The 14,740-nt window shown below is 35.6% G+C and overlaps 1 protein-coding gene across 28 annotated transcripts in view; it reads right to left on the minus strand.

The window, feature by feature from the left end:
- The window catches only part of IMMP2L (inner mitochondrial membrane peptidase subunit 2), an 899,849-nt gene that overhangs the window by 868,648 nt on the left and 16,461 nt on the right, over positions 1–14,740 (minus strand). For 6 of the 28 annotated variants that reach the window (NM_001350959.2, XM_047420925.1, XM_047420930.1 and 3 more), the window contains one exon: positions 1,227–1,294. The exons of the other annotated variants lie outside the window; for them this stretch is intronic. The gene's annotated coding sequence lies outside the window, so the exon portion shown is untranslated. The remainder of the gene's footprint in view (positions 1–1,226; positions 1,295–14,740) is intronic. 28 annotated transcript variants of the gene reach the window in all.

A 14,740-nucleotide genomic window follows, 5' to 3' on the forward strand; every position in this document is an offset into this window, starting at 1 on the left:
TTTTTTTTTCCTCATCAATATGGACATCTTCATGGCTCCAGTATTTTTGGAAACCATATAAAGCAAAATCCTTTAACAATAATCTAGGACTCTCTAAGAACTGGCTCAGGCCATCCTAATCCTATAAATTATCCTTATCCTGTAACTCCAAATAGACACCATTTAACAGCATTTACAACCAAGGCCTAATCTCAAATTTCAGTTATTAAAATGAAATAAATTCTGCAAAAAGTTTACCATAAAAATTAATAAGACAGTGAATAGCTTTTTACAGGAGAAAAATCCTATTAAATGATAACCATTAGCACGGAGAAGCTTGGTAAGCTTTAAACCCTAATAACCACAAAATTTGGATTTCAACACTGTACTTTATTTTTTTCCAATTTAATAGAAAAGCATAACTGCTATCATTAAGTAGAAGCTAAAGGCAACGTGAATTTTAAGCTAACAATGTGAGGACTTAAATATGTATATAAATGAAACAGACCAGCTACTTATCCATAACCCAAGCAAAGCAATTAGAGGATACTTTTCACCATAAGTCCATTTTTTCTTGAAGTAATAATACAGTGGGTTAGTAAAAGGATATATTACCAGCATCAGGAATACTTACTGAATAGCTAAGAAGAAAATACTGCATTATTTGGCATTTGGGCTGTGTTCAAAATTGGCTTTAAAAAAATTAAGAAGGCCTATAAATGGAAAAAGCACTCTTTTTAGAAAAAAAAAATCTCAAGAACCTTTCAAAAATCAAAACTTAGAAGAAGTGAGATAGGGGAAATAAGAAAAAGGTAGTAACACTCAGAACCTAAAAAAAGAAGGGTACAAAATATTAGAAAGTGGGCATTAGGCAATAACATGAGTAATGGAAAAGTATCACTAGAAACCATGTGACAGCCAGTTTCCAAAGCACGGTCATCCAAGTACCAAGCTTTGCTGTTCCTTATCTACTTTGCTACCTCACATTTTTTCCTACTATCTGACACTGCTTCATATTCACTTCTCTTACACTGCAGCCCTACTTCGGTCTTATTTTAGAATGGTACAAGGGTCTTATTAGGGCTCAACAATAAGCGGAATTGAAAAACTTTTTTAAAGAACATGGTTTCTGGGTCTCATGAAAATCCTATCCTGATCCCTACTCTTCATGCCTCAAATATATTGCTATCTATACTAGAATGCAAATGCCTTTACTAGAATGCCATATCAACTCAAGTCATACTTACAACATGGCTTTTCCTTTGATCAGGGTTGGGAGTAAGGAGTAGGAAGGCTTCTCAAAAGAATCAGGCCACTAGACCCCAAGGGACAAAAATGGAAAGAGAAAGTCACAAAAAAGTAGGACTGAAAAATACAATTTAACCAGCAAACTTATAGCTAGCCCAGGGACTATTACTACTCTTTACAAAATGATAAATACAAAAAAATTAGAAACACAGGCTCCCCCATCAGGAAAGCACATTAAGGCTCCAATTAGTCTGTCAAAAATAAAATCTATTCAGACTATGGCTTGAAGATTTGGAAAGGTGCCCACAGCCCATGTATGGCAGCTGCAAGTCCATGGGGAGTTCAAACAGCAACAGTGCAGAGTCAGTACTGAAGATGCAAGCCAGAGGAAAAGATTTATGCAATTTAAGGTGAAAGCAACAGAAATAAACTCCCTTGGAATGAGTGCTTATGGTCCTTTTAGCTTATAAGTGCAAGTGTACCCACAAACATGCATGCACACTTGCTGAAATGGCAACAAAGGCCAAGTTAGCAGCATATGTTAAAAAAGAAAAAGTAAAAATAAATATATAAATAAATAGAACAGCCAAGAGGCCAGAGTATAAAGCAGCTCATCCTGAGTGGCCTGGAGATAAAAGCAGATGGAGCACAGCATTACCCAGACTCAAGTGTCTGTTGCACAAAAAGTCCAGGTATTATAACGAGCCTGTGGTATTACAGCAAATGGAACTGCGATCTCATTTAGATTATTCTCCACTCTTATATGCCTTGTTTTGATTTCTGCATACTTGCCTATAAATTGGAAGACACTGTTTTAAGATACCTGTGAAATTTCATCAACTGTGGCTAGAGTTGAAATCTTAACTTCAACCTTAAGAGAAACACTGAATCAGAACTACAAAGCTGACCCGCTCCTAAATTTCTGATGATCCATGGAAACTGTGTGAGATAATAAATGTGTTAAGCCACTGATTTGGGTGGTTATTTGTTTTGCAGAAATGACTAATACAATACAAAATGCACAAAAAGACCCAAGGGCGCAAAGAAACTTGGTATTTGATAAAGTCGACATTCATATTGGGAAGAGAAGTTGAATTAACAAGTTATGTTGAAACAATTAGCTACAATTTGGAAGGAGAATAAAATCAAAGCTAGATATTTATTAAATTCATTATAAGAAAATAAATTCCAGATAAGCCAAACATTATATGTAATAAATAGAAATATAAAAATAACAAGAGAAAATAAAGGCAACAGTCTTTTAAGGGTAGAAAGAGGTCTTTCTGAACATTTTACAAAATCCAGAAAACATGAAAGATAAATACTGATAGATTTCACTACATAAAAATCAAAACATACCATAAATAATGTTAAAAGACAATCAGCAGGACATAAAAAATTATAATATCAGTATCTCTAAAATTACACAATTCTTATAAAGTATAAGAAAAAAGACAATAATTTTGAGAGAAAGGTATTTCACTGAAACAAAATATGGACAGTATATAAAGACATAAAAAGATGTACAAACACACTAATAATAAAATCAATATAAATAAAAACAAAGTACTACTTTAGTCTATCAAACTGACAAATTTAATATGGTAATATGTACCAAAATGTTACATGAATATACCTTCTGATGCAGAAACACCACTCCAGGAATTTATTTTATGGATGCAAAGATATGATCAACGATATTCAACATACCATTTTTATTGCAGTGAAAAAATGAAAACAACCAAATGTTCACAAATATGTAAATAAATTATGACATGCATACAGTAGAGTAATCTGCAATCATTAAAAAGAACAATATATCGTTATATTGCTTGAGATTCTCCTCCAAAAAAGTTGGAAAATTGCATTTTTAATATGAACCCATTTATGTGAAATTTTATACACACACAGCATCATCCTCATCGTCATCCTTATCATCATCATCATAGAAAGAGGTCAAATAATAAAGAATATGAACCAAAATGATGACAGTATTTATTTGCAATGAAAGGAATTTCACTTTATGCTTTATATTTTTCCATATTACTTAAATCTTCAGTAATAGGTATTTAGTATCTTTATATACTAAAACAAAATTAATATTACAGTCTTTTCTGCTACAATAGCTATTTCTTAATGTAAATTAGCTCATATATAGGAAAATGACGTCAGTCTTATGTGAAAGCTATGCTGGTTCATACACAATTTTCCCCAGTACATGAAGGTTTTGATTCAACCAAGAGCAAGTCTTCTCCCAATTAAAGTGAAAGTCTCATTTGGTGGCTTCAAGACTTTCCACTGTTAAAGGAGGCTGAGCATACCAACGAAGAAATGCAAAGATATTTTCCCCTGTGTTTAAAATAGAATAAAATCAACAGATCAATATCCTAGAGCAGATTTTCAACTTTGATGAAATTGGTCTGTATTAGAAGTAGATGACTTTAAGGACCTACAACAAAGGAAGAAAACCAGGGTTTCAAGCTAAGACTGATGTGATGCTGGGTGCAAATGCAAGGAGGGAGTTAATAGTGCTCGTTTTTATGACAACTTCTATTTTCTCAGCTCTGTTTACAAAATGTCACTGGTTTCAAATGATCTGTTCCTAGCCCTATTTTCTTTATAAGCCCTAAAATTTTATGGTTTAATTTTGCAGAATTAAAGATTTTTCAGGAATGCATGTATGTCATTAATAGGAGAAATGCCTCTACTATTCTGAGTAAAATGCAGTAAGGTAGAGAAATGTTCCATATCAAAAAGAAACAAAAAACAAAAAAAGGAAGCAAAAAGGAGAAATGAAGGAAGGGAGGGAAGGAAAGAAAGAGGGGGAAAAAGAGGAAGAGGAAAGAAAAAAACTGCACACTTCACTTTGTTTTAGTGAGAGTGTCTAACGAAAGATATTAAATGCAGGGCAAAACAATCTCATTAATATTCTTGATTTATACCACACATTTTGATTCTATATGAGATATATCTAAAGAAATGGTCTTTGCCCCATCGGACACTTAAAATCTAAACAAGGGAGTGAATTAAACAGTCATCAACTATGGTGGGGCAGGAAAAGGGACTAATCCAATTAACTTTAGGACACAGTTATTTAATTATACCCAACCCAAGGGTATAGAGTCAAATACTATAGGCGGTATTTGGGCTGGGAAGTTGGGGGGTGGGGAATGCAAACAGTGAGAGAAACAATTGTGAAACTACTTAAGATACATTGTAGGACTCAGCAAATGAGTTGGGAGAACAGTGGTGACTGTGGGAAAAGGGAGATAAAAATACACAGTGGGAATCAGGGAAGAATGCTGTGGGGCCCTGGAAGCAAAACCATATAGAAGTAGCAATGAGTATATGTAGTACTCAATTCTTAGGGTCTAATACCATTCCCTACTCCAAAGAATCAGCAATCTTCAGAGTAAAGGTTGATTCTGGGGCTGTGGTGGGGAAGGTTTAAGATGAGCCTGAAACATTTTCTTTGGCCACTAAGAAGTGCTTAGAAAAAAGATGGAAGTACATCAAAAGGAGACGGGAGCTTGCCTGGTGATCCCACTGGCTAAATATGAAAAAAATTTGATTACTTATTAAATAAAGTCAGTAATGAGTTTAAACTACTGGAAAAACAGCTTTGAATGTGCTAATTTTCTGAATCTGAGCAATACTTTAAAATATGGGTTTTAGCTTCAAAAGGTAAATCAGGTAATTTCATTTTATTTAAGTAATACCATGAAAATAATGTTACAAACTACTAAGTTAAATACAATATGAAATATTGGTGGTGGGTTGTTTTTTGTTGTTTTTTGGGGTTTTTTTGAAACAAGGTCTCCCTCTGTTGCCCACGCTGGAGTGCAGTGGCATGATCACGGCTCACTGCAGCCTCAATTCCCAGGCTCAAGTGATCCTCCCACTTCTGCCTCCCAATAGCTAGGACCACAGATGCACACCACCAGGCCTGGCTAATTTTTTATATTTTTTGTAGAGATGGAGTTTCACCATGTTGCCCAGGCTGGTCACAAACTCCTGAATTCAAGTGGTCCACCAGCCTCAGCCTCCGGAAGTGCTGGGATTACAGGTGTGAGCTACTGTGCTCCGCCTAAAATATTGTTTTAAAATAAGTCCCCTTTATGATCATTCTCAGAAATTTGTTAGAAAAGAAGTTCCCTTGCACATATAAAAAATTTTTTTCAATTTATAAATTATCCTTCTACACTAATTTCCAAAGAATAATCATTGAGATGAGTTAAAGCTTTTCACTATTCTTTGAATATTATATCAGCATATCCAACTGTTAATTGAATTTGAGATCCACTAGTAAAGCAAAAAGCTTGTGACTTTGAAGACTATTTAAAATGTACAATGTTTTATTAATTATCATTAGTAGTACTATTATACAATGGTTGTACCCTTGTAAGTTTGTTAAGAAACAGCTGACATTGAAATTGTCTGCATCTAAAGGACATGTCAGGAAAAGCAGAGAAATCTTACCAAAAAAAAAAATTGAATCAACATCTCTTCTTTTGGTATTTACCCCTTTCACATCAATAAACATTTACTGAATATCTGCTAAGTGCCAGGCATCATATCAGTTTCTATACCGAAAGAGTAAAGACGTTTCTGTATAGTATCTATATAGATATTGAACATTAAGCATTGTTCTTTGGAATTATTCCAGCCTTGAGATAAGGCTAAAAGGGCCATAAAAATAAAATGAAGAAAGATGGATTTTATAAAGGATAGAGGCAATTGGGGATGTTATGGAAAGACAAACTACACAGCATTTTATACTCTCTGGTTCTTCTACTTTCAGAGAATGACTCTATCATCCAAACAGCTGCCCAAAGGTCAACATGGTAGTGAGCCAAAGTGAGCATTCATGAAAAAAATAGAAATCATCCTAACTTTCTCTTACTTTAAATCGTTCAATAACTCCTCATTTTCTATAGGATAATATCAAGCTGCTTAGATTTAGCATATAAGGCTAATTATGATTAGATTCCTAGTCTCATCACTTCCACTTTTTTTTTTTTTTTTTTTTTTTTTTGAGACAGGGTCTCACTCTGTCACCCAGGCTGGAGTGCCGTGGTGCGACCTCAGCTCACTGCAACCTCTGCCTCCCAGGCACAAGCAATCCTCCCACTTCAGCCTCCCAAGTAGCGGGAACCACAGGTATGTGCCACCACACCTGGCTAATTTTTGTATTTTTTGTAGAGATGGAGTTTCATCATGTTTCCCAGGCTAATCTCAAACTCCTGAGCTCAAGTGATCTACCCACCTTCCCAAAGTGCTGGGATTACAGGTACCAGCCACCGTGCTGGGCCAGTTCCTCTCTTTCACAGCACATCATGCTTCAACCAAACCCACCTCCATACAATTTCTAGAATATGCCACACTTTTACTTGTCTCTGGGCCCTTATACATCTCTCCCTTCTGTCTACATCACTCTTCCCACCTTTCTTTGTTTTGGCCAGCTTTACCCATCCTTCAGGTTAGCTTAGATGTCACTATCAGGAAGTCCACTCCGACTCTCCAAATCTGACTTAGATTTCCTTCCTATGTGTTCCCATAAAACTCTATGCTCCCCCTAGCACAGCATTTATCACACCTGATTTTCTCATCCTTACCCCTAATCAGTTGTGAGTTCTGCGCGAGCAGAAACACTTGTTCACTACTATACTTAAGTGCTTTGCACTTAAGTGCTCAGTGTTCAATACAGTTTCATTGAAGAAATTAATTAACCACTTAGCTGTCCATATAAACTACATCATACTCAGAATGTGATATAAGTTCTGGAGGCCTTGATTGAACAGCACTGCACAACCACATGCCATAAATTTTATGTGTGTGTGTGTTAGTTTGTGTGTGTGGTGTATGTACACACAAATGACTGTCTCCATCTCTTACCTGATAGTTTTACTTCACAGCTGAAGATATTTATGAAGAAAGTGGTTTTTAAAAGAAATTATACTTATGCTGTAAGTATAAATATACACAGAAAGAAATATGTGGGCTGGACACAGTGGTTCATGCCTGTAATCCCAGCACTTTGGAGGCCAAGGCAGGAGGATCACTTGAGCTCAGGAGTTTGAAACCAACCTGAGCAGCATAGGAAGACCCTGTCTCTAAAAAAAAAAAAAAAAAAAAAATTAACATAGCCAGTCATGGTGGCACATGCCTGTGCTCCCAGCTACTCAGGAGGCTGAGGTGGGAGGATCACTTGAGCCAAGGAGATCGAGACTGCAGTGAGCTCTGATCACACCACTGCACTCCAGCCTGGGTGACAGAGCAATGAGACCCTGGCTCATTTAAAAAAAAAAAAAAAAAAAAAAGGCTGGGCACAGTGGCTCACGGCTGTAATCCCAGAATTTTGGGAGGCTGAGGTGGGCAGATCACAAGGTCAGGATGTTCAAGACCAGCCTGGCCAACATGGTGAAACCCCGTCTCTACTAAAAAAACAAAAATTAGCCAGGTGTGGTGGCGCATGCCTGTAGTCCCAGCTACTCGGGAGGCTAAAGCAGGAGAATTGCTTGAACCTGAGAGACGGAGGTTGCAGTGAGCAGATCATGCCACTGCACTCCAGCCTTGGCGACAGAACAAGACTCCATCTCACAAAAAGAAAAGAAAAGGAAGGAAGGAAGGAAGGAAGGAAGGAAGGAAGGAAGGAAGGAAGGAAGGAAGGAAGGAGGGAGAAAGAAAGAAAGAAAGAAAGAAAGAAAGAAAGAAAGAAAGAAAGAAAGAAAGAAAGAAAGAAAGAAAGAAAGAGAACATACGTCGATTACTACATATATATCTGTATATTGAACTTCAGGAAGTTGACTTTTCTGTATTTTTCTTCAATAAATCATAACACAACACTCTTGTCCAAAAGCAGTAAAGATGGATAAGAAGGATCAAGTAACTTTCATAATCCACCCAACTATAAGGCATTAAGAATTTTTTTCCCAATTAACAGCTGATTTTTAGGAAGTGTTTAGTTAGATTTTCTTTCAAAGCAATTATTTTTCAGTCTGTGCTTCATGGTCTCCTAATGATTCCCTGGAGTCTCAAGGGCCAGGGGGAGCAGGTGCTAAGTGAACAGAGTTCTGAACTGCCTCAATCAGAGCCACTCTGCTTTTTATCTGGTTTTTTTTTTTTCAATAATGGAATTCCAACCAAGATTTTCTTTGAAGAAGGGTTCACTACATTAAAATAAGAATAAAAGAAAAAAAGAAAAAGGTTAAAAAACACTGCCTTAAAGAATCAGCAGTGGATTGAGGTTTGCACTATATAATTCAAGCTCTAATGTATTTCATATTTCTTGGTTAGACTAAATTCAACTGTCAGCTTTATAGGCCTTTCTTTGTGCTAAAATGAGAAATACCATTTGAATACAAAAATATCCAGGTAGAGGGAAAACAAAATGGGTTTTTGATAAGTATATTTATTCTCTGATGCAGCTATTTCTAAATTTACTTATTATTTTTAATGGCTTTATTTATGTACCAATCTTCAAGTTAATGATTCATAACAGAACACCAAAATAATCTAATTGAACAACAGAAGCCCACTGTAAATGCCAGCTGCTGCTATGTTTCATATACTGTAAACAAATACCCACCTCATTTTAATAGTTTCTTAGTAGAAAGATTACCTTAAAGGAAAAGATCCACCAAACTCATATTTAAATAATAATTTTAGCTATTTTCGCAATCTAGAAACAACAGGGGCTCCGGGTAACTGAAACTGGGGGTGCTCCATCATAAAACATCCAGAAGACCAGTGGGGTGAATTTGATCTGCTGGTGAACACAATGAAGACTAATAAGCAAAAATGGGCTTCTTCCAACAGAAACCTCCTGCCAACCTGTGCACAACATTGTGCAATTGCAGAACGGCACTTCACTGGAAGTCAGGGAAACACTTGCAATCAAGTCCAGGCTCTGTAACAAGTTAAGTGAATCCAAAACCTTTACAGCTGAACACATAAAATTATTCAAAAGCTCTAACGAGGTGAGAAGCAACCAAACTTGATTTTCATCTCTGGGAAACCCTATATTAGCACTGTAACCCACAAGGCCCTCTTCCACTTCCAAACTCCTCTGGCATTCACTAGCCACACCTTCATTTGGCACCCAAGAGTGTTAGTTACCGTTTTATAGGTAACTCCCCAACTAAGTTGTAAGCCCCTAAAGGGTATACATAGGTCATGTCTCACTCTTTTCTATACATCCTAAAATTCTTAGAATTTTGCTAAGCATTTGCAGATGCTAAATAAATGTATCTTGACTGTTTGTTTAATTGTAGATATGGTTTATATTACCACCCGTTTACAATGTTGATAGTTTCATATGGTTGTGTCAGACGACATTCCACTCCTTTAAATGCCAGTCAGGAGAGTAACGGAGAAAATAAGCGGCCAGATCAGGCTGTATTGACAGCCATGCAACTAATCTGATACTACCTCTCCATGCATGCGTCCCTCCCAAAGACCAAGTGCCCACTCTGTTCTAGGGCTAAGTGTTTTCTGTTCCTGCTATGCTTTGTACCAAGTCAGAAATAAGATTTGGATTCAAGTCTTAGCTATGCCAATGAGTAAGCAATTTGAATAGATGACCTTAGCTCCAATTATCTATGATTCTATGATTCTAACTTCAGGCCTTTACCTTCCAATATCAGAATGGCCCCTCCCTCACAGTACTAAAATTACTTATCTTCCATGATATGTCCCATTATCATCATCAATACACCCATGTTCAAAGGCCATTTCTGACTTCTGCTACAAGGTCAACATACTCATGAAATTATTTACACTTCTAAAGATAACACTGTTAAATTTCTTGTCTGATCTTTACGTCATACCTGCGTTCATTTAATAAACACAAGTGGGTAGTTGGGTAATATGGGAAAAGACACTCATTTAGGGAAGTTTCTAACATATTCCTGCTTTCAGCAGCAAAGATAAGTTATGGCTCCATTTGCAAATAAGCACCAATAATAGTAAATAAAACTAAATTATTTTTATACTGGTCACTAGGAAGGTTGTTTTCATCTTAAACGGCAGCTTAGTAGCCTTGAGAATAATCTGATCTCTCCCATTTTATAAGAAACTTATTTTTATTGTCTCATCAACATCAAATGATATTAGGGAGTTTCACAATGACTGTGACAATAAATGGCTTAGAAAGAAAATTCAGTAACAATTTTGATAGGTTTTAAGGAATATATGAGCTAGATAAAAATATATGAGCCATATAGAGATTTGATGCAATTTAAATTAATATCTACCAGTTTTGAAAAATAAAGTTTCTCAGAACCTAATGTAGCTTTCTTCTGCAAAAAAGACGAGGCATATCACCTAAAAAGACCTGTCCCTAACCAACTGTTATCCAAGTAATTAAAAAGAAAAGTGAAAATTTCACCTCTTCATACATGTTAAGCAAAACCAGCCATAATAAAATCCCTGATGAAAGGTGAGTTTTAAAAATAAAAGTGAGACGTAGGTAACAGAATCCTCCAAGAAATACTTAAAAGGTTAGTTTTCCTCAGCCAAAATCATATCAACATTTTCGTATATTTTGGATATTAACCTCAGTACAAATATTAGATTATCAAACATAAAATATAAAAATATTTGGCTAATGGTATAGTAAGGTTTTGTTTCATTTTTAATAGAGTGATTAGCCATTCACAAAAATCAGTCAATATTACTCCTCCATAAATTATGACAAAAAATATACAAACTCTGAATGAAGCATTAATTGGGAAAAGAAAAAAGCTAAATATTTTTATTGTGAAACTAATAAAATAAAAACCTCAGTCTAGTAGAGAATATACACTTTGTGTTGATTAAAATTTTATATCACTATGTTAAACACAGTAATACTGAAAATTGTTATTTTAATTACCTCATTTAATCTCTACATTAACCTTATTTTTATCCCCATTTTAAAAGATATAAACCGATGCTCAGAGTGCTTAAGGAATCTTCCCAAGGTCAAAGAAACAGTAAGTAGCAGAGCTGAATCCAGATTATTTGACCCTGTAAACTAGGTATTTAAGCACTATGCTACACTGCCTCCAGTTATTCATAACTCCCAATAAATATTCAACACTCCCAATAAAACACAGGGCACGATGAGTTATTGATTTCATAACTGCTACTGCAGCATTCAGATACTACTTATTTGGAAAAGTGTTCTGAATACACAATTAATTCAATCCACTATGTAAAAGGTAAATGTTCAAGTCTCATTCAAATGGAGAAGGGGTAGAAAAGGAAGAAAAGTACAAAGTCTATATGGAACATCAATTAATAAAAAATATTATCAGGGTTGTCTTTAAACTTCACAATTACTGAAGGTCCTTATTATCTTGCTGTCATTTCAGCACTCTCAATTGCCTCTTAGAATTTGAAATTTCACTGTTGAAACAAAAGAAACATAAAATATATGTGCATTCTAAAAAATTCTGCCCTTTTGCAATTTATCTTCTACATTTATTACCTGGATCTTCTAACACTCGACTAGAAACTAAAGCAATCCAACTGTATATACAAAATGTAAAACTGGAAATGCCAGAAAATCAACATGACCTTTCAAATATAACATTTTCCACAATCATTTACTTAATACTAGAAAAACATTTTACAGTATTTAAAGCATAATCTTTATGTGTAATACTTTCGGCAAATATAAAAGCAAATACAGAATAAAGTCAACCACATTTTTAAACCAAAACTGCAATTAATTTTAAACTACTACTTTTTCTCCAGTAGTTCATTATCTATCTATTAAAACATTCATAACCATATTAGTGTGCTCTCCGTTTCAAATACAAAGCTGATGTTAACCACTGTACTAGTCACCTCCTGTACCTGGTAGGGACTGCTAGTATAACAAACCCCTCCCCTGACACCAATTTCCCTATATTAGTTTGCTTGAGAACAAAAATATGTATTGGGCAAAGAAATGAGATAAGCCTTCTCTGTAAGCCAGCAAGACCACTCTTGATTAATCCCCAACGTACTGGCCTCAACAGCATGGCTTCTAACCAACCAGAATCCTCAGTCAAAAATACTTTAAACAAAGATAAAAATTAGCTAGAAGATCATGTTACCCTAAAATTAAATTTTATTTGAGAGCAAATGTATAGCCTTTATATTTTCTGATCCAATCACATCTTTGTTAAAAGCAAAAGATATGTAAATCAACACTAATAGGATGTTAGATTTTCCAAGAGAGAATCACACTTCAGATAAACTACTACTCAAAATCTTTTTTATTCCATAATCAAATAGCAATCCTTAAGAATATACCTTTCATTCCCTTTTGACTACTTTAAGTATTTCCAAAAGAAGCTGAACAGAAAATACTTTTCTTCAGACTTTTTTCCGCACATCTCCTAGCAGGAGAGAAAAATTAGCAAAACAAATGAACTCAGAATCATTAAAAGGTGTGGACAGTGTCCATCTTATAGCTTTAATACCTAAGAATTAGGAAGAAAAAGAGATCAAGGAAATAAAGCGACCAACATAATACCTGGCTGAAGGACAAATTCTATACTTAAAATTAAGTATGGCTCTAAAAAAGGATGAGTTTATGTCCTTTGTAGGGACATGGATGAAGCTGGAAATCCATCATTCTGAGCAAACTATCCCAAGGACAGAAACCAAACACCACATGTTCTCACTCATAGGTGTGAACTGAACAATGAGAACACTTGGACACAGGATGGGGAACATCACACACCGGGGCCTGTCGTGGGGTGGGGGGATGGGGTGGGATAGCATTAGGAGATATACCTAATGTAAATGACGAGTTAATGGGTGCAGCACACCAACATGGCACATGTATACACATGTAACAAACCTGCACATTGTGTACATGTACCCTAGAACTTAAAGTATAATAAAAAAAATTAAGTATGGCTCCTACCGACTCTATGAATTCAGTTCATATTTCTTTAATGCAAAGAGAGAAAGAGCAAAGTTACTGAATGAAGAGATAAAAGTGTAAAACATCAACAAAGCAACTAAATTAGATACCTCACCTATCACAGAGAAAATCAACAAGGCCCAATGAATTTATATGTACACATTTACCTTTGGAATAATACGTCATCTGCTTTTTGTATTCTAGACATGTTCTATTCCATTGACTGGGAAAAATCGAAAAGGTGGCCTTTGTAGCAGAGGACAAACAGAACTCAGGCTTAGTGTAACAGAGCAGCAAAATAAGGTGAGAGAAAAGCAGCTGAGAAGGGGAGGTTTACATTCAACATGTATAAAAATAATGTATATTGGCTTTTTTTTTTTCATGAGGGAAGGAAGGTAACTGGCTACCCTAAGAATGAAGCAGAATCAGCATGGCAAGAAACAAAACAGGCAGAAAATTAAAGGATCCCTGAGAATGGTTTATACCCCAAACAAAACAAAAGTGAGACAAAGTAGAAAAAAGACCAAAACCCAAACTAAGACAAAAACCCCAATCCTCTCTCTTACATTGAGAGAAGCAGAATAAGACAACATCAAGAACAAAATATCTGCATCCAGAAGTCAGACTCACACACACACATACTCTCAGAGCAGCAGGAGAACAAAAGGACAACATATTTTACAATATTAAGATAAAACTAGTACAATTATATTTTTAAATATTAATTTTTTTTAAAAAAGAGAAAGAACAGGTTGGTCAGCTCTGCCCATAGATGCTTCCAAAAAACTCCATAGCAGTCATCCTAATGGATGTGAGACACAATTTCACTAGGCCTTTGATATGCATTTCCCTAATGATTAATGATGCTGAGCATCTTTTCATGCCCTTATTGGCCATTTGTATATTTTCTTTGCAGAAATGTCAATTCAAACCATTTGCCCATGTTTTAATCTTGTTGTTTTTTCTTGTAGAGATGTTCGGAGTTTTTTGAGACAGAATCTTGCTCTGTCACCCAGCTGGAGTGCAGCGGCGCAATCTCAGCTCACCGCAACCTCTGCCTCCCAGGTTCAAGCAATTCTCCTGCCTCAGCCTCCTGAGTAGCTGGGATTACAGGCCACCATTCCCAGCTAACTTTTTGTATTTTTAGTAGAGACGGGGTTTCACCATGTTGGCCAGGCTAGTCTTGAACTCCTGAACTCAGGTGATCCACCTGCCCTAGCCTCTCAAATTATATACTGTGGATAGTAACCCCTTATCAGATACATGAACTGCAGGATTCTTTTTAAATTCATTTCTCTATTCCCTAATTTCTCAGAGTTGGCTATATGTAATGCAGAAGTACATTTTGAGTTGAATATATTTCTTCTTTGTTTTTATTTTTTACCTAATACAAAATTTACAATACTCAAAAGAGGAATACAATGGAAAATAACCTCCATCCCTGTTCTTCAGCTACGAAGTTCCAATCCCCAGAGACATTTTTCATCTTCTTATAATTCCCTCCAGAAATATTCTATGCCTATATAAGAAAATACATTTCTTAAGTCTCCTCCAAAATAATCTATTCATTGTTCTGCATTTTCCTTTTTGATTTACTACATCCTGAAGATT

This window comes from Homo sapiens, chromosome 7 (genome assembly GCF_000001405.40).
Source record: "Homo sapiens chromosome 7, GRCh38.p14 Primary Assembly".
Lineage (NCBI taxonomy): Eukaryota > Metazoa > Chordata > Mammalia > Primates > Hominidae > Homo > Homo sapiens.